At 42.3% G+C, this 18898-nt stretch overlaps 1 protein-coding gene, 1 long non-coding RNA gene and 1 pseudogene across 5 annotated transcripts in view, besides 6 other annotated features; 1 reads left to right on the forward strand and 2 right to left on the reverse strand.

Moving 5' to 3' along the window:
• Positions 1-18898, forward strand: part of ARHGEF33 (Rho guanine nucleotide exchange factor 33) — an 85580-nt gene that overhangs the window by 45186 nt on the left and 21496 nt on the right. For both annotated transcript variants that reach the window (NM_001367623.3, NM_001145451.5), the window contains exons 8-12: positions 715-774; positions 2275-2499; positions 8841-8970; positions 15929-16061; positions 18102-18185. In NM_001367623.3, coding sequence (NP_001354552.1) covers positions 715-774; positions 2275-2499; positions 8841-8970; positions 15929-16061; positions 18102-18185 — 632 coding nt within the window. The remainder of the gene's footprint in view (positions 1-714; positions 775-2274; positions 2500-8840; positions 8971-15928; positions 16062-18101; positions 18186-18898) is intronic.
• On the reverse strand, positions 1187-18395 carry LOC105374471 (uncharacterized). 3 transcript variants are annotated; one of them, XR_939980.3, is made up of 3 exons: positions 18346-18391; positions 17250-17313; positions 1187-1392 (listed from the first exon to the last, which is right to left on the reverse strand). It is a non-coding gene; the product is annotated as an uncharacterized LOC105374471 (long non-coding RNA). The 3 variants fall into 3 exon arrangements; XR_001739417.1 differs by lacking the exon at positions 1187-1392 and adding an exon at positions 2312-2376 and having other exon boundaries at positions 18346-18393; XR_001739418.3 differs by lacking the exon at positions 1187-1392 and adding an exon at positions 9105-15245 and having other exon boundaries at positions 18346-18395.
• On the reverse strand, positions 1816-2098 carry RN7SL96P (RNA, 7SL, cytoplasmic 96, pseudogene; annotated as a pseudogene).
• Positions 7859-8809: an enhancer, noted in NCBI's record as "NANOG-H3K27ac-H3K4me1 hESC enhancer chr2:39170060-39171010 (GRCh37/hg19 assembly coordinates)". NCBI's record gives its function as "activates a minimal SCP1, AML or CMV promoter by ChIP-STARR-seq in primed H9 embryonic stem cells {active_cell/tissue: H9 hESC(primed)}" and the evidence as "EXISTENCE:reporter gene assay evidence [ECO:0000049][PMID:30033119]".
• Positions 11977-12477: an enhancer, noted in NCBI's record as "H3K27ac hESC enhancer chr2:39174178-39174678 (GRCh37/hg19 assembly coordinates)". NCBI's record gives its function as "activates a minimal SCP1, AML or CMV promoter by ChIP-STARR-seq in primed H9 embryonic stem cells {active_cell/tissue: H9 hESC(primed)}" and the evidence as "EXISTENCE:reporter gene assay evidence [ECO:0000049][PMID:30033119]".
• Positions 12168-12462: a silencer, noted in NCBI's record as "tiled region #10102; K562 Repressive non-DNase unmatched - State 13:Ctcf". NCBI's record gives its function as "represses a minimal TATA promoter and a strong SV40 promoter by Sharpr-MPRA in K562 cells {active_cell/tissue: K562}" and the evidence as "EXISTENCE:reporter gene assay evidence [ECO:0000049][PMID:27701403]".
• Positions 12285-12471: a silencer, noted in NCBI's record as "fragment chr2:39174486-39174672 (GRCh37/hg19 assembly coordinates)". NCBI's record gives its function as "represses an EF-1alpha promoter that drives an FKBP-Casp9 reporter gene in an ReSE screen in HepG2 liver carcinoma cells {active_cell/tissue: HepG2}" and the evidence as "EXISTENCE:reporter gene assay evidence [ECO:0000049][PMID:32094911]".
• Positions 12478-12978: an enhancer, noted in NCBI's record as "H3K27ac hESC enhancer chr2:39174679-39175179 (GRCh37/hg19 assembly coordinates)". NCBI's record gives its function as "activates a minimal SCP1, AML or CMV promoter by ChIP-STARR-seq in primed H9 embryonic stem cells {active_cell/tissue: H9 hESC(primed)}" and the evidence as "EXISTENCE:reporter gene assay evidence [ECO:0000049][PMID:30033119]".
• Positions 12738-12857: a silencer, noted in NCBI's record as "silent region_11382". NCBI's record gives its function as "represses an Ori minimal core promoter by ATAC-STARR-seq in GM12878 lymphoblastoid cells {active_cell/tissue: GM12878}" and the evidence as "EXISTENCE:reporter gene assay evidence [ECO:0000049][PMID:35858748]".

An 18898-nucleotide genomic window follows, 5' to 3' on the forward strand; every position in this document is an offset into this window, starting at 1 on the left:
AAAGAAACAGCAGGCATGAGTTGGGGGCAGATATTCCAGGGCTGTATGATCATTATAAGGGCTTTGGCTTTTACACTGAAATGGGAGCCATTGGAGGGCTAAGCAGAGAAGTGATAGGGTCTGGTTTATTCTGTTTTTGAGACAGGGTCTTGCTCTGTCACTCAGGCTGGAGTGCAGTGTCACAATCTTAGCTCACTGCAGCCCCAACCTCCTGGGTTCAAGCGATCCTCCTATTTTAGCCTCCCAGGTAGCTGGGACCACAGGCACATACCACCATGCCCGGCTAATTTCTGGGTTTTTTTGGGGGGAGGGGGTGGGGGGTAGAGATGGAGTTTTGTCATGCTGCCCAGGCTGGCTTACATGTTAACAGTACCATTCTGTCTCTTTTTATTATTACCATCATACCACTGCCACCACCATTATAGTTAAACAACTATTTAACTCTTACAATATGCCAGGTAGAACTTCAAGCAGTTTACAAATACTAACTTATTTATTTCTTATTGTAATCCTTGAGGTAAGTACCACTATTATATCTTTTTACAGCTGAGAAAATAGCACTTGCCACACTATACTGTAATTTCTTTTTTTTACTGCTCTGCCTCCCCCATGAAACTACAATCTCTGAGTCTGCCCCCAGTGCCAGGCTCGTGGAAGGTGCTTAGTCCATGTTAGTGGAATGAACGCTGAATGAATGCTTTCCTTTCTCTGCAGCCCAAGAGTCCAGATCTGTTCATGTAGGAGACAGTAATGTAAAAGGAATGATGGGTCCTGGTAAGTGACTCTTCTCTTAGTTTTCTTTTCTTCCAGCAATTCCATTATTTTCCACTTCTATCTTCCCTGCTTCCACTTCCTTAGTTTCAAACCAGGCATGAAAGAACTCACAAAAGATAAAGTTATGAAGTTACGAAGATTCCAAGATGTGTACTAGAGCAGGTCAGTGACTCATTTGAACCAAGGAGAGAGAAGGGCTAGGGAAGCTTAAGACAAAACCAGTATGTTTCATTTTTTCTGGCTTATTTCAATGACTAATAAATTCACATTTGCCAAAAACTTGCAGGTGAATGTAGCATGATGTAAGTTTTCCGTGGATCACACACTGTATAGTTTAATTCAAAAGTTACCTACTTTTACATCTGTGTAGTGCAGGTAATAAAGGACTAAATAATAGAAAAGAAACAAAAGAAGATAAAAGAAAACAAAATTTTAAAAAGGATTTACTTAATTGACAATTCACCAGGATTTTATAAATTATTTAAGCTTCCCTCTCTCCTTCCTTTCTAGCATTAGGGTCAAGGGAAAAATGGCCAAATAAGACATTGTTTTTGGCACCCTTCCTCCTCCTCTTTCTGTTTCTCTTCCCAGGAGTGCTCCAGCATCTGGTGTGCTCACCTGAAAGGAAGCAGATATAAGGAGTCAATACATACTATAAATTAGCTATACTATTTGATAAATTCATTTTAAAAAGCTCCTTATATAGTAAAGACTATGTATAAAGCATAGAGGATGTATAGACCAGAAACAGAGGGAACCCCGTGCAGCTGTGGACACTTTTAATCCTTAATTGGTATATTTAATCCTCAAGGGATAGTTGTACCCAAACAGAGGCAGATTCGTTAAGAGTTAGCAACAAGGCCGGGCATGGTGGCTCACGCCTGTAATCTCAGCACTTTGAGAGCCTGAGGCAGGTGGATCACCTGAGGTCAGGAATTCAAGACCAGCCTGGCCAGCATGGTGAAACCTCAGCTCTACTAAAAATATAAAAATTAGCTGGGCGTGGTGGCACACACCTGTAATCCCAGCTCCTTGGGAGACTGAGGCAGGAGAATCGCTTGAACCCAGGAGGCAGAGGTTGCAGTGAGCCGAGATCGCCCCATTGCACTCCAGCCTGGGTGACAAAAGCGAAACTCCGTCTCAAAAAAAAAAAAGTAACAAACTTTTTTTTTTTTTTTGAGACAGAGTCCCACTCTGTCACCCAGGCTGGAGTGCAATGGGGCGATCTCGGCTCACTGCAACCTCTGCCTCCTGGGTTCAAGCGATTCTCCTGCCTCAGCCTCCTGAGTAGCTGGGACTACAGGTGCCCGCCACCACGCCCAGCTAATTTTTTATATTTTTAGTAGAGACAGGGTTTCACCATGTTAGCCAGGATGGTCTCAATCTCCTGACTTCGTGATCCGCCTGCCTCGGCCTCCGAAAGTGGTAACAAACATATTTTTTAAAAAGATTTTGATAGCAGTTTTCTTTGTTTCCCCGCCCCTCCCCCCACCCCACCAGGAGTGAACCCAACAACTCCAGAAGCAGAAGAAAACCTCAAGTCTTGCCTCTCGGCTGATATCCAGTCCAAGGGCCATCTCCCATCTGGCATGTGGAGGCAGCCTAAGGATGGTAAAGAATGGGGTGAAGAATACGTCACAAAAGACCACCCAGATAAACTCAAGGAGGCTGGCCAGGGTAGACACAGCTCCTTGGAAAACGTTTTATGTGAAACCTCCTTAGCTGGTAAGTTCCAAGGGGGAATGCAGGCTAATAGTTTAAAGAACAGGATGTACCAGAGCTTTGAACTCAAAGGCGAGAATCCTTGCCGTTTAGATTCAGTGGACACATGAGGCCACCTAGTTCCTGGTTTCCTTTTCAGATGAACTAAAGCCTATAGAGGTAAAGGGACTCATTAGAGGTCACAGGGCCAGTGACTACCACCTTGATTCTGCATGTTCAAGACACTTAGTAATGGAGTGCTGTGGGCGGGAGGGGGAAGGCATAAGGTTGGTGGAGAAGGCAGAACTATTTAGCCAGTGATGTGGTATCTTCTAGAAACAAGCCTTTCATCAACAGTCTACCACCAAAATATCACACACTGCAACACAGCCTGTCCTCCCTCCTTTTTCCCTCCCTCCTTCCCTTCATATCACAAAGTATTGCTGAACAATTACTGTGTCAGACAATGGCATTTCCCCCTGGCTATTTGGGGGGAGGTAATTTTTAAAAATTATTTTGAATTTTTAAAGTCAAATACATGAAAAAAAGTATTAAAAGGTTTGTTATGAAGAAGAGCGCCAACAACTTTAAACTCTTTTGACCGTTTTTTCTGGTACTTGCTTCCATGTTTTCTTTTCGGGGGCATGGGGGAGGGAGAATGGCAGGCTCAGGCTGGGTACACAGTCTTCCCCTGCTTCTATGTTTTTAAAAGATGTTTAGCCAGGCATGGTGGTTCACACTTGTAATCCCAGCACTTTGGGAGGACAGGTGGGAGGATCCATTGGGCCCAGGAGTTGGAACCAGCCTGGGCAACATAGTGAGACCCCTGTCTCTACAAAAAATAAAAAAACAAAGTAGCTGGGCCTCCTGGCATGTGCCTCTGGTCTCCGCTACATGGGAGTCCAAGGTAGGAGGATCACTTGAGCTCAGGAGGTCGAGGCTGCATTGAGCTATGATAGTGCCATTGCACTCCAGCCTAGGCAACAGAACAAGACCCTAACTCAAAAAAATAAAAGTTTTACACTATTTTTTTTACTAATACTTTATTGAAGGTGAATTTACATAGAGTAAAATTCACAGAGCTTACATTTAAGCTAATAGACATTTTACATGTGTCTATCCCCTGTGATCACCACCCAGATCAAGATATACAATATTTCTGTGCATGAAAGAACCTGAGAAAGTTCTTTCATGCACTTTGCCAGTCAATATCCACCCAAAGAACCACTATTATGACTTCTATACCACAAATTAGTTTTGTCTGTTCTTAAACTTCATGTAAATGGAATAACACAGTGTACTCTTTTGTGTCTGGCCTCTTTCTCCCAACATAATGTTTTTTAAAAAAGATTTATGCATATTTTTGCACACAATTCATTCCTTTTTATTAATCACATTGAATGAATTTATCACATTTTTAAAAATCCATTCTCCCATTGATGGACATTTTTTTTTGAGACAGAGTCTTGCTCTTTCACTGAGGCTGGAGTGCAATGTCGTGATCTTGGCTCCCTGCAACATCTGCCTCCCAGGCTCAAGTGATTCTCCTGCTTCAGCCTCCTGAGTAGCTGGGATTACAGGCGTGCACCACCACGTCTGGCTAATTTTTATATTTTTAGTAGAGACAGGGTTTTCACTGTGTTGGCCAGGCTAGTCTTCAACTCCTGATATCAAGTGATCTGCCTGCCTTGGCCTCCCAAAGTGCTGGGATTACAGGCGTAAGCCACTGTGCCTAGCTAGCTATGAATATTCTTGTACAAATTTTTTTTTAGTGGGGGGATGTATGCCCTCATTTCTCTTGGGTGTATACCTAGGAGTAAAATCTCTGGGTTGTAGGTTATGATTATGTTTAACTTTAAAAGAAAATGTCAAGCAGTTTTCTAAAGCAGTTGGCTAATATTCCCACTAGCAATGTTTGAGAGCCCAGTTGCTTCACATACTTTCCAATACTTGGGAAGGATGGTTAGTCCTTTCAATGTTAGCCATTCTCAGGGATGTGTACTGGTATCACACTGTAGTTTTAATTTGCAGTTCCCTGGTGATTATTAGTATTAAGTATGTTTTTATATGCTTATTAGCTATTCATATATTCTTCTTTTATAAGGTGCCTAAGTCCATTGCCCAACTTTTTTTGAAGCAGGGTCTTGCTCTGTTGCCCAGGCTGGAGTGCAGTGGCATAATCACAGCTCACTTCAGCCTTGATCTCCTGGGCTTACGTGATTCTTCCTCCTCAGCCTCCCAAGGAGCTAGGACTACAGGTGTGCACCACTGCACCCAGCTGTCAATTTTAAACTCTTAAAATAGCTCGTGACTTTCTTGTCTTTCTGAGAAACCTTTGCTATCTCACAGTTGTGAAGGTACTCTGGTATGCTTTCTTCTAAAATCTTTATAGTTTTAGCTTTCACATTTAGGTCTATGACTTATGGTGAATAAATTTTGATGTACAGTGTGAGAAAGGGCTCCAGGTTCATTTTTTTTCCAGATGGCTATCCAGTTGTTTCAGCATCATTAATTGAAAATACCTTCTGTTTCCCATTGTTGTATGTAGAAAGTCAAGTGGTCTTATATGGGTATCTAATTTTAGACTCTCCTTTTAAAAATTCCAATTATCAGGTAATTGACATCTTGACAGTATTGAGTCTTCCATTTAAAGAACATGGTATATCTCTTCATTTATATAGATCTTGAATTTTTCTTAGCAATATAACAGAAACTTTACTATTTACATCATCAATGTTTTTAGTTTTTAATTTATTTTTATCCATTTAGTTTTTCAGAGGTGGGGGTTTCCCTTTGTTGCCCAAGCTGGCCTCAACATCCTGGGCTCAAGTGATCCACCTGCCTCAGCCTCCCAGGTAGTTGGCACTACAGGCACAAGCCACTATGCCCAGCCATCTTTTTTTTTTTTTTTAAAGAGCATTTGCCTCCGTCATCCTATTCTGCTTTGGCCCAATGTACTCCCATCATCCTGGGACTTTCCAGTCTTCTTAAGAATTCCCTTTATATTTCTCCTCTGTTCGATTCCTGTTTGTTGCTGTTGTTGATTTTTTTCATCTTCTGTATCCTTGGTTTCTTGGTTTACTCCTGGTTTTGGTGGAACACATCATCCAGTAGTTTCCACATATGTAATCACTTGGCGGGTCCTTCTTGCCGGCTTGCTGTGCAGGTGGAGCTGATTTACTGCAACTGCTGTATTGCAATTGAGAAAAAGTTGAATAAACGTACAGCAAGCTATTGCAGCAGACCAGAGTTTATTACTCAAATCAATCTCCCTGAAAATTCAGAGACTGGACTTTTTTTAAGGATAATTTGGTGGGCAGGGGGTTATGCAGATGAAATCACAGGGATGTGGTCCTCATATGCTGAGTCAGCCTCTGGGTGAGGGCCACAGGACTAGTTGAGTCATGGGTGTAGGTCCAGGTGGAGTCAGTCAGCTTCCAGAAATGCAAAAGTCTGGAAAAATGTCTCAAAAGACCAATCTTAGGTTCTACAGTAGTGATGTTATCTATAGGAATAACCAGGGAAGTTACAAATCTTGCCACCTCCAGAACAATGGCTGATTATCATTTAACTATGCCTACATCTTAGTGTAATTCATAATATGAATTCATAATTCATAATCCTAAACTTTTGGCCTTTCATTAGTTTTTCAAAGCCAGTTTGGGTACCAAATTGGAGGGTGTGGGGTTAATTTGGGGAAGGGCTATTATCATCCTTGCTTTAAGTTGAACTATGAACTAAATAAATCCCAAAATCTCAGCCTATGCTCAGGAATGTACAAGGGCAGCTTGAGGTTAGATATAAGATGGAGTCAGCTATGTCAGATTTCTCTTGCGGTCATAATTTTGCAAAATGCTTTCACATAGTTGATTAATAATTTGGCCAAATAAGACATCTTTTTTCCTCATGATTTTGAAGCAATTGTTCCACTGTCCTCTAACTTCTAATTTTGCTATTAGGAAGTCCAGTACCATTCTGATACTCAGTTTTTTGCATGTTACCTGATTTTTCTTTTTCTTTTTTTTTTTTTGAGACGGAGTCTTGCACTGTCACCCAGGCTGGAGTGCAGTGGTGTGATCTCAGCCCACTGCAACCTCTGGCTGCCAGGTTCAAGCAATCCCCCTGCCTCAGCCTCCCGAGTAGCTGGGACTACAGCCGTCCACCACCACACCTGGCTAATTTTTGTATTTTTAGTAGAGATGGGGTTCACCAGGTTGGCCAGGCTGGTCTCCAATTCCTGACCTCGTGATCCGCCCACCCCGGCCTCCCAAAGTGCTGGGATTACAGGTGTGAGCCACTGTGCCCAGCCCGTTACCTGATTTTTCTATCTGGTAACTTTTAGGATCTTGTTTTTATTCGTGGTGTGCTAAACTTTCACAGTGATGTGATATGCCTTGTAATGATGTGAGTCTTTTTTATTAATTTTGCTGGGCACAAGGGTCCTTTTCTCTGGAAATACATGTCTTGGGATTTTTTTTTTTTTTGCCTGTTATTAATTTGATAATATCTTCTCATCCATTTTCTTTCTTTTTTCTGAAACTTCTACTAATTTGATGTTGGACCTCTTGGATTGATTTCTCAACTGCCATCTTTTGCTCTTCTATTTTTCTTCAATACATCTCTCCTTTCTTTTTTTTTTTTTTTTTTTTGAGACAGAGTCTTGCTCTGTCACACCCAGGAGGAGTGCAGTGGCATGATCTTGACTCACTGCCACCTCTGCCTCCCGGGTTCAAACTATTCTCCTGCCTCAGCCCCCTGAGTAGCTGGACGACAGGTGCACACCACTATGCCCAGCTAACTTTTGTATTTTTAGTAGAGATGGGGTTTCACCATGTTGGCAAGTCTCGACGTCTTGACCTTCTGATCTGCCCACCTCGACCTCCCAAAGTGCTGGGATTACAGGCGTGAGCCACCACGCCCAGCCCCTCTTATCTTTTTTTTTTTTTTTTTAAGAAAGGGAGATTTCTTTTCTTCATCTTCTACCCTTTTAATTTTTTCTATCTTTTAAGCAATGTTTAAAAGTTTCTCCTTTTTAAAAATTAGCCTCTCTTTTTAAAAATAGCATCCTGCAATTGTTAAATGACTGGAATATGTTTCTTATATTTCTTTGAGAATATGAATTGTAAGATTAAAAATTTTTATTCTTTTGTATCCTGCATTGTCTCTGTTTCTTCAGGGTCCCCCCTCCTTATAAAAAAAATACGTATATATGCTTTTTCTTCTCATTCTTTTATAGTATAAGCTTTATGCAAATGTATGAGCATCCTTAGCTAAATGTATGTAAGAAAGAGCTCTTAGAAAAACTCTGGAAATTTTGTATTGACCGAGCTTGTCAATCAGTGGGCTTCATTATAGACAGGCTAATCAGATGGCAAATTAACTTTTGATAATTGACCTCTTTTTGTTTTTTGAGAGAGAGTCTTGCTCTGTCACCCAGGCTGGAGTGCAAGGGCGTCATCTCAGCTCACTGCAACCTCCGCCTCCTGGGTTCAAGCAATCCTCCTGCCTCAGACTCCCGAGTAGCTGGGATTACAGGCGTGTGCCACCACATCTGGTTAATTTTTGTATTTTTAGTAAAGATGGGGTTTCGCCATGTTAGCCAGGCTGGTCTCGAACTCCTGACCTCAGGTGATCTACCCGCCTTGGCCTCCCAAAGTGCTAGGATTACAGGCATGAGCCACCATGTCCGGCTGATAGCTGACCTCTTTGTGTCAGTGTCTGTGGATCTTTTTCCCTTGGGCAGTTCAGTTTCTCAAGTGGAAGACCCTCCAATCTCCTGCCTGAAGAGTTTAAACCTGGCTTCTGGCACTCTGGGATCTACAGGGGAAGAAGGCTGAGGGAAGTCTCACTGTTCAGTATGAAGCCTTCCCTGAGTCCCTTTGTTTTCATTTTAGCATCTGAACTCTACTATGTCTAAAGTCTTTAGCCCAGATCCCAGAAACCAGGGCTTCTCTAGTTTCATTTTTCTTGTTTGCCATGGGGAGGAAGTGAGGAAGCCATCTGGTATGGGGGGTGAGGATCTGGAGGTTCAATTGCCCCATATGTATACTTTCAATGATTGCTCCTGCTTTCAGCATTGTCCCTTATTTGCACTATCTATATTGCCCCTGGTGTCTCCAATCCTTGAGCTTTCCAGATGCTTCTCAGCAGATTTTCCAGCTGCAGATGGGGACACCAAGACTTCGTGCCCTTTGCTCTGCTGAATGAATTACTGCGCCTCCATTCTGCTTTCTACCTTTCAAAAACTTGCAGATGGTTTTTTTTTTATTGCTTTCAATATCCTTTTATCACTTTTATTGCTTGCATTTAATGGGATTTTAGGAAGAAATGGTTAATATCAAGTCCTCTTTGGTTTGTTTCTAAAGCTAAAAGACAGACTGTGGCCCTGGAACTGCTTGAATCTGAAAGAAAATATGTCATTAACATCTCTCTGATCTTGAAGATAAAAGCCACATTCCAGGGGTCAGATGGAAAGAGGAATTCCAAAGAGAGAAGGTATCCATGCACTCATTGCCTTTGCTTTTCAGATTGATTAGGATTTAAGGTAAGTGGTTTATTGTTTCCACTTTGGGATTTCTGGGGCCTATGAAGAGTTCCAGAAATAGTCTTTGAAAAGAGAAGAGGCAGTGATGGCAGATGTCTCAGTTCACTTTGTGCTGCTATGACAGAATATCGTAGACTGGATAACTTTTAATGAACAGAAATTTATTCTCTCACAATTCTGGAGACTGGGGAGTCTAAGATCGAGGTGCTGGCAGATTGAATCTCTGGTTCCAAGATGGCACTTTGTTGTTGTGTCTTCCAGAGAGGAGGAACATTGCAGCCTTACATGGCAGAAGATCAGGAGAGAGCAGGAGAACCCACTCCCTCAGGCCCCTTTTGTAGTGGCAATAATCCATTCATAGTGCGGAGCTCTCACAACCTAAACACCCACCATAGGCTCCACCTCCCAGTACTGTTGCATTGGGGGTTAAGTTTCCAGCACATGAATTTTGGGGGACACATTTAGATCATAGCAATAGGGAACCCCTGGCAAGTCTTAAACTTAGATTTTCATCAATGTAAGAAAATGAGTATAGTCTCCTGGGCCTTCAGGGTCTCTAACATGTCTTTTAAAAACTTAAAGGGGGAACAAATGCTACAGTGAGGGAGGCGTTGGTCTCTGTTGCCATCTGCATGGAGTCCCCATGGGTCACAGGTCTCTTAGAAGCACAAGAGAATGAATGTGTGGCAAACCGAAGCACTCAGTGGCCATTAGAGAAATGACACAGGGCTGATATAACTCTGGACCTGGGCCTTATTATTCATGTGGGTGATCTTATGGTACTGAGTAATGCATGGGTGTGTGTGTGTGTGTGTGTGTGTGCGCGCTCATAGGGTCTGCCACCTGTTGTAACAGCACGCTTTCCCAATGCCGCAACACTCCACCTATATCTGTTCATAGTCTAGATTTTTTTCTGTTTCCCTCTCTGTTGAGAGAAAGCAGGAAGGAGGAAAGTAAGACTTGGTGAAAAAGATTAATGTAATGAATATATAATAATCCAGAAAAATTGAAGAAAAGGCCAATCCAAAAGAATGGAAAGTCTGGATTATGGACTACTGTGGACATATGTGGCATTATTACTTTAAACATTCCATTGGGTAATATACACTGGTGGTTCATAAATTCTGAATCTACCCAGGGAAGCCCCTAATTATATTTTCTTGCTCCTTACCATCCCCCCAAATCTATTTGACTTGGTGGCTGCCAACAATACACTCAAAACACACGCTGCCCTCCTACCTAAATGACCGAGTGAGGCACTACTCCCTGACAAACCCACGAGTGGCCTATTTTCAAGAGTTATTTTACTACAAAACAGAGGTAAACCAAATATGAAGCAACAAGAACAGAAAGGCTAAGGTGACCCAGCTAAAGCTGTGACCATCTGGACTGGGCCTCACCTCTCAGATACTGCCTAGATTCTCAGCCATCCTTCCTTCCCTATCTGGCCCTTCCAGTTCCCCCTCCTTGACCCTCCCAGCTGCGCTGCAGGCCTCTGGAAGTCTCTATGGGCTCCAGCTGTCTTGCTGTTGCCAAAGACCTACTCAGTTTATGGTAATGAAATCTAAAGGCGGTGTACCCTTTGGTGTGGCTTTGCTTCCACATAGAAAATTCTAAGCCAGCAGCGTCTCTTCTTAGTCTGAAAATCTGGGGAGGCGGGGTAAGTCAGGGAAAAGAGAAAACTGTTTACTGTGGAAGGGAGTAGTAAGCAGCTGCTCTGCTAGGCACTTGATTCGTAACTTCACGAAATATTTAGCAGAACCCTGTGACCCCTACCTTACAGACGAAGGAACTAAGGCCCAGAGAAGCTTAAAGCCGCAGAACCAATTAGTGCCGGGATTCAAACGCAAGCCTGCCGGACCCTGTAGTGTGTGCTCTTATACATCATACCACTTCCCCAAAGCCACTGGCTTCATTAACTGCAATGTGTAAAGTTTCTCAGAGAGCCAGAAGGATACAGTTGTCTCTTCCTATTTCAAAATTCAGTCTTCCCTCTTGAACAGCCTGTACGTTTTTACTTCAGATCTCAGTTGATTTGTTAAGTCTGCTACATATGTTGTCTAGCCCTTGTTGCAAGCCTCCAGCAGGCGGGAGGTCATAGGGGAGAGACCAGACCCTGCAGAAGATTTGGGTAGATAAAGAGAAGGCCCTTATTGACTTGCTGCCACTTCCTATTTTTCTAAATTGTTCTCTTATGACCCATCACTGGGAGGAAGGAGTAGATCTCTCCCTCAAATCCTACGAGATTGAAAAATTAAAGCTATCATACAATCCTCTATGAAAGTAAGATCATAGTTATTTCAAGATATCTGCGATAATGCTATTCATGTTAGTTATTTGCTAGACTAACCTTCTTTTTTCTTTGCATGGACCAAGCAGAGAAAAGCTTCAACCCCACCCTCTTCGTTAGTACTGAATATGAAGTCTCTGGTTCTGAGCTTGGTGGTACTGCCGTTTTTCTATTTTAGGGTTAGATTTTCATTATCCTCCTCCACTCATTATCTTTCTTCTTTAAAGCTTTCCTGAAACCTCTGTGTGTACTTTATTTCTTTCTTTATTTTTTTGAGGCAGGATCTCACTCTGTTGCCCAGACTGGAGTGCAGTGGCATTATCTCGGCTCACTGTAACCTCCACTTCCCGGGTTCAAGTGATTCTCCTGCCTCAGCCTCCTGAGTAGCTGAGATTACAGGCACACACCACCATGCCTAGCTAATTTTTATATTTTTAGTAGAGATTAGGTTTCACCATTTTGGTCAGGCTGGTCTCGAACTCCTGACCTCAAGTGATCTATCCACCTCAGCCTCTCAAAGTGCTGGGATTACAGGTGTGAGCCACTGTGCCCAGCCTTTGTGTGTACTTTAAATAGACCAGCTGAAGGAAATACAAAGCAGAATGAAATTGTTCCTTTTCTCTATCGGCATTTTTCTCCATGCAAAGATGAAAATAAGTATATTAACATTTACTATCGGCATTTTTCTCCATGCAAAGATGAAAGTAAGTATATTAACATTTACTAACTTTCCCATCACAAACCACAAACCTTCAGCACTTTTTACCCCATTGGAAAGTAAGTTGGGATGCAAATAACCTCCACTGCAAGTACAACTTGACATTCAAGCCTGAGGTGGCCACATCTTCTCCAACCTATTAAATAAAACCTTAGGTTTTTCCTAAAGAAAAGTGAGTCACTCAAGAGCTTCCTCAGCCTGTTTGAAGCCAGCCGTGCCCCTGGCTGAAAGGGCTGGAAGTTGCAGGGGCACATTGCTGCTGGCTGAAACCTGGGCAGAACTTGAGGGCTATGATTCATTTGTTTGTTTTGTTTAGAGACAAGGTCTCTGTCTGTCGCCCAGGCTGGAGAAGGGTGCAGCGGCCCAGTCACAGCTCACTGCAGCCTCAAACTTCTGGGCTCAAGTGATCCTCCCACCTCAGCATCCCCAGCTGGGATTACAGGCATGAGCCACCCTGTGCTCTTATACATCATACCACTAACAGCTACTTTTTCAGTTTATTATAAAGACGGTGTCTTGCTCTGTTGCCCAGGCTGTCATTTGTCGAAGGATCACAGAAGTTGGAGTTCTGGGCTTTTTGGCTCTGACTCACCTAGGTAGAGCCACAGCCTCAGGATCACAGTTCTGTCTGAACACTTATGGAGGGAGCAGTGATCAGCTCAGCAGGATTGTCAATTAGCCTTGTAAGCTAAACTCCAGTGCTGTGTCCACCAAGAGCTCAACAAGCTTCGTGCTACAGATCACCACCAGGTGGCACACGTTTAATGATCATGCCCATCCAGGGTGGCGGGAACCTGCTACTGCCAAGCTCAGGAGTTATTTTGGCCTCATTCTGGGCTGACAAAAGCTACATTATTAACCTCAAACTATAACTGGATTTTTCTTTCTTGCTTTTAGTGTATTTCCCTCATTGATTAAGTACTATATTGTTAGGAGATAAAAACTTTGAAGGCTTTAGAAATAATAAACTACTAATGTTGCCAAAATTTCATCCCAGTAAGGAATAGGAAAAAAAAAAAGCTGAGCTCTGAATACTTCGTCTTCATGAAAAAGTTGCTTCTGGGCGTCAGGTCTGGCGCCAGGCAAAAGAGTGAAACAGGTTAAGTGTGGCTTGTACTTGCCATCTTTCTCCCTTTGCTGTCTGTCTTCTGATTTCACACTCCTCCCTAATTTCAAATAATACCCTTGTTAAATTTTTTTAAAAGGTTTAAAGCCCGTTTTCAATGTTTCGTATAGAATCCACTGTAGGTCATTGTTTTTCATGTAACTTATGTGCTTCCACAATGCTTGATGGAGGCCTTAGCCTTCTCCAACCCCACCCTGAAATCTCAAACAGTCATCCCGGTGGGCAGTCCAGGAGGAGATTGGTACCAGCTCTCCCATTCTCCAAGTACATTGACCACAGTGTAGCAGAATGCAGCTCTCTGGAAAGAAAGGGAGAAGGAAGGAAGAAAGGGAAGGAGAGAGGGAGGGAAGGAGGGAGAGAGGAAGGGAGGAAGAAAGGGAGGGAGGGAGGAAGGGGAATGAAGGAAAGAAAAAGGAAATCGATAATCCAAGACATTTTATATACATATATGGACAATTCTTCACAAAGTCAGATCTTCCCATGGTGCCCTAATATCTTCCAGGGTCACACCAGGACTATTACACAAAGTCATTTACAACCACTGGGTAGGAAGAAATCTTTTGCACCTAGATCTTTGGCTGGTGCAGCATTTTACACTTTCAGTACAATCAGTTGTGTTTTTCTCCATCAGGTTTATGGTCTTCTCCCAGTCAGTATACCCCGTAGCTACCCCTCCAAATTCCCCTCTGATCTGGACAGGGATTTCTTTGATCTCCTAAACCCACTGTTCCATTGTAAGCGCTCAGGTCAGGAGGCCTCTCCTCTTTTGTACCTGTAGGGGATCCAGGCACAGGAGGTGGAGGGAGTGGAAGATGGGAGTGGAAGTCTTCCTCATATCCTTTCATAGGGGGCTAGGTACCCTATTCTCGTGTTTGTGTGTCTCCTCTGAGCTACAGTCACAGAGGTCACTTTGCTTTGCTTGGAAATGAGTTGAAAAAAACCTCCTCTCGATCTGGCATCCTTCCTATTGTTCCAACAAAGGTTTGCTTGTTGGGAAAGCACCCCAGTTGTCCACGAGTTTACTCTCATTTGACCCTGGGGAAATATTCAAGTAAGTTCAGATCAACCAGACCATCTCTTTTCTGTTTGTTAAACTTGCGGTGCTGAAAGCATAAAGGAACCTACCTTAAGTCACCAAGTTAGAGCTCCAATCCTTGCTGTAACCCAAAAAAACTCTGCTTCTTTTTATTTTTTTCTTCCTCTTTTCTATAGGCCTCTAATCACATCACTCTTACCCAGCTAGTCCCCCTTCCTCTTCCTCCCATGATTCTCTATCTCTCCTCTCCACCCCACCCTTCTCTGACGTCTCCCTTCTTCCCTTCCTTACTTCTGAAAAAGGGAAAAAAAAGAAAAAAGGAGGTACATTGCAAGATGGAGAAGAGAGGGATGGAAGGGTAGAAAAAGTGCTTTGTAAAATTCCAGGGAGTAGCAAGCCAGGCCTGGTCAGTAGCTGTGTTAGGCCGTTCTCACATTGCTATAAAGAATAGCTGAGACTGGGTAATTTGTAAAGTAAAGAGGTTTAATTGGATCACGGTTCTGCAGGCTGTACAGGAAGCACGATGCTGGCATCTGCTCAGCCTCTGAGGAGGCCTCAGGAAACTTACAATTATGGTGGAAGGCGAAGGGGAAGCAGGCATGTCACAGGGCGCAGCAGGAGCAAGACAGAGAGACGGGAGGCGCTACGCACTTTTAAACAGCCAGAATTCATGAGAACTCACTCACCATCACTATCACTTGGTGGGACAGTAGCAAAAGGGATGGTGCTAAACCATTCACGAGAAATTCACCCTCATGATACAATCACCTCTCACCAAGCCCACTTCCAACACTGGGGGTTACATTTCAGTATGAGAGTTGGGCAGGGACACACATCCAAACTGTATTAATAGCCTACCCAGACAAGACTGTCCTGGCCCAGTATTCCTCTTAGAAACTGAAGAAAAGGAAAAAAGAAACCCTCTGATACCCTACAACTCCCTGAGCTTTTTAGTTGCCAACTTTAAACAAATTTTCCTACTTACCTAAATAGCAGTCTCCTACTGGTAGCTGAGAATGGTCTTGTAGATGCCACCTCAGTGCTGCATCTACAACACTAATTAGAATAGACTATTTTGCACATCAAATAGGAATAGCTCTAAAACATTGAAAAAGGTATCCCTTAGAATTTCCACTGCGTGTCATTTAAATGAGCATGTAAAAAGGTCTTTCAAGTGATGTGCTCTTTATTTATTTGTATTTTATTTATTTATTTATTTTGAGACAGAGTCTCGCTTTGTTACCCAGGCTGGGGTGAAGTGGCGTGATCTGAGCTCACTGCAACCTGTACCTCCCGGATTCAAGTGATTCTCCTGCCTTAGCCTCCCAAGTAGCTGGAATTAGGTGCATGCCACCATGCCCAGCTAATTTTTGTATTTTTAGTAGAGATGGGGTTTCACCATGTTGGCCAGGCTGGTCTCGAACTCCTGACCTCAGGTGATCCGCCCAACTCCCAAAGTGCTGGGATTACAGGTGTGGCATGCCAGGCCTCTTTATTAGTTCAATACACATTTGTATAGAAGCCATTAGTAAAGGTTTTTTTTGTTTTGTTTTGTTTTTCTGTAGTCGGGATATCTGCTATTAGGTGTGCAATGAAAAACTTTAAAAAATCCTTAATGCAGGCCTGTGACTCACAGTATGTTGGATGGCTGGGAGAATGGGCCCTGCTGCATGTATTTTTGTAGGGTCCTTTCTTCTCTACACCTTGTTTGTGTGATTCCGTCTCTATTCTGTTTCAAGCCTCTTCCCTGGCTCTTTACGGTACCTCGTCCAGCAGCACCTGGATCTGCTTCACGCACTGCAGGAAAGGGTCCTGAAGTGGCCACGCCAAGGCGTTCTTGGAGATTTATTCCTTAAGTTAACAAATGACGAGGTAAGGTTTTTTCTGCCCCTCTATACATTTTACTTATACGGATTTGTGTCTCATTTGTCTACTTCTCTTAATAGAGAATCTAGAAGCAGTGAATTTCACAGCTAGAACCACTGAGATCTAGTCTAACTTTCTCATTCTACATACAGATCATGGAATGATTCAGAGAGATTTAAAAGCCTTGCTGAAATCACCCCGCTAGCTAGGTAGTTGGAGATGTGTGACTTTCAGAGGCCTAAGTTAGGTCTTCTGACTTCTAGTTCATAACTTTCCACTGTATTATAACTGCCTCCATTGAATACGCATGTCGATGTGTGTATGTATTGTGTGTGTGTTTTTATATAAATGTATGTATATATATTTGTGGGCCGGGTGTGGTGGCTCGTGCCTGTAATCCCAACACTTTGGGAGGCTGAAGCAGGAGAATTGTTTGAACCCAGGACTTCAAAACTAGCTTGAGCGACACAGCAAGACCCTGTCTTTATTAAATTAAAAAAAAAGTATATATACATTAAAACATGTATATATATGCATCTGTGTATATATATACACAAATATATATGCATCTGTGTGTATATATACACAAATATATATATACACACATGAGATATATACACACACATGCATATATATATACACATGAGAGTTTGTATATACATGTGTATTTTCACACACAATTTTCATTCCTTGGAGATTTTTTAAAAAATGTGATGGGTGGCTATTATCTTGAATTTTGCAATCTCTACAATATCCTACAAAGAAAATATGATCCAAGCCAGAGGCTGCAAACTCAAATGCCTATGGGGCCAGACAGTGGCATAAATGAGTGAAGTGAACACAGTATGGACTGGTGTGAAGTGTGAGCTGCAGTGGAGCAGCTGTGTTGTTCTACAAGGAATAGCTACTCAGCTTTATCCAATCATTATGCAGGAAAAAAGGACTAGAGTTGCCAGAGCTTCTGATATTTTAAGAAAAGCTGGAAATCCAGAATTTTGTGGGAAATTTTCTTATTTTTAAAAGATTGTGTGGGCTAATTAAAATTGGTCTGCAAGCCAGACTTTGCCTGAAATCAATTTCTGTGTATCAATTATTCTCAACTGTGGATAACAATACAAAGTTTACAAATTATTTTCTTCTACAGACTAGAGTGCATATAATGTACTAATATCCTCTAATATCATTTTTACTCACTTGTGTTCAGTATGCTTCCTTTAGCTGAGAATTATTATAACTTTAGAAGCTGAGAATGATTTTCCTAAGGGGATAATGCATAGATAAATATGTAATTAGTGGAAATATGCAATTACTAGAAAATGTTGTGAACTACTGATCTGGATGACATGAAGTGGGATGGGCAGAGTCCCTCATCTGGACGTACATGATTGACTGAAATGAAATGGAATTACAAAAATAAAAGATACATTTTTATTGTTAAGTGACTAAAAAAATACATTTTCAACTTACATGAACCTCCCTCCTCCCTGGTTTCATTATTTCACTTTCTCTCATTAGGGAGGGGATGCTGAGTTTTGATTCCAAAGGGTAGGAATGTTTACCTTAAAACCAAAATTTTTTTTAAGATACATTTTTTTTTTTTTGAGCCGGAGTCTCACTCTGTCCCCTAGGCTGGAGTGCAGTGGTGCAATCTCGGCTCACTGCAAGCTCTGCCTCCCGGGTTCATGCCATTCTCCTACCTCAGCCTCCTGAGTAGCTGAGATTAGCGGCACCTGCCATCATGCCTGGCTAATTTTTTGTATTTTAGTAGAGACGGGGTTTCACCGTGTTGCCCAGGCTGGTCTCGATCTCCTGAGCTCAGGCAATCCACCTGCCTTGGCCTCCCAAAGTGCTAGGATTACAGGCGTGAGCCACCGCGCCTTATCTAAGATTAATTCTTTAAAGCCTCAAAATATATAAAATGAAGAACATATTAAATGAATAAGATAATCTCTGCAAAGTACTCTTCTTTTACATATATGACTCTATAAAAATATTATAGATCCTGTTTTCAGGTTCTTACCATGCATTTTTGTGTTTGTTTTAAAGAATAATTTCTTGGATTATTATGTTGCCTACCTAAGGGACCTGCCTGAGTGCATCTCATTGGTTCATGTTGTAGTCCTGAAAGAGGTGAGTTAACGCCATATATATGCTATCCTTCATCTGCACATGGCATCATATGATGTTGCTCATCCACCCAGTCAATACAGCGCATGCACTGTGCTTTCTAGGCTGGGGAATGGCCTGAACACAGCCACTAATACCACTACCTGGCATTAAAGGAACTCACTTGAGGATCAGTGCCATTGTGTTGGTCCTCTCCCTGCCTTACTGACCCTCTGTTCCATTCCATTGGAACTATAGACAAACTATAGTTCTATAATGGGCATTCTATGCAGAGATCTCCAGGCTGCAGCTTACATGCTGTATGTGGTGGGTTTTTTTCCAGTCTCAGAAGATGTGAATCTGAATATTAAACTTCAGTCATCCTTTGTCAGTTTATAAGATAAGGTGGCTCTAGTCATGTTGCTTGAAGTATTGCTACTGCAATGATACATTAGGTGCTCAGTAAGCACATACACATCTATAACAACTTAGTTACTTCAGATCAATAGGAAAAAACAGTATCAGAAGCCCCAACACTAAGAGTTAATCAAATTTCACAAGAGATGAGAGGCTCTGTCTTACTAAGTTTCTACTTCAACCCCCCACTACTCCCAACCCAGTATAATGCCTACCATGTTAGCTTTCAGCAAATATCTGGGAAAGAGAAGAGAAGGAAAAGGAAGGGACACAGAGAAAGTGCAGCATGTTTTCTGCGGCCAGGCCAGCTAACTAGGTTC

This window comes from Homo sapiens, chromosome 2, assembly GCF_000001405.40.
Source record: "Homo sapiens chromosome 2, GRCh38.p14 Primary Assembly".
Taxonomy (NCBI): Eukaryota; Metazoa; Chordata; class Mammalia; order Primates; family Hominidae; genus Homo; species Homo sapiens.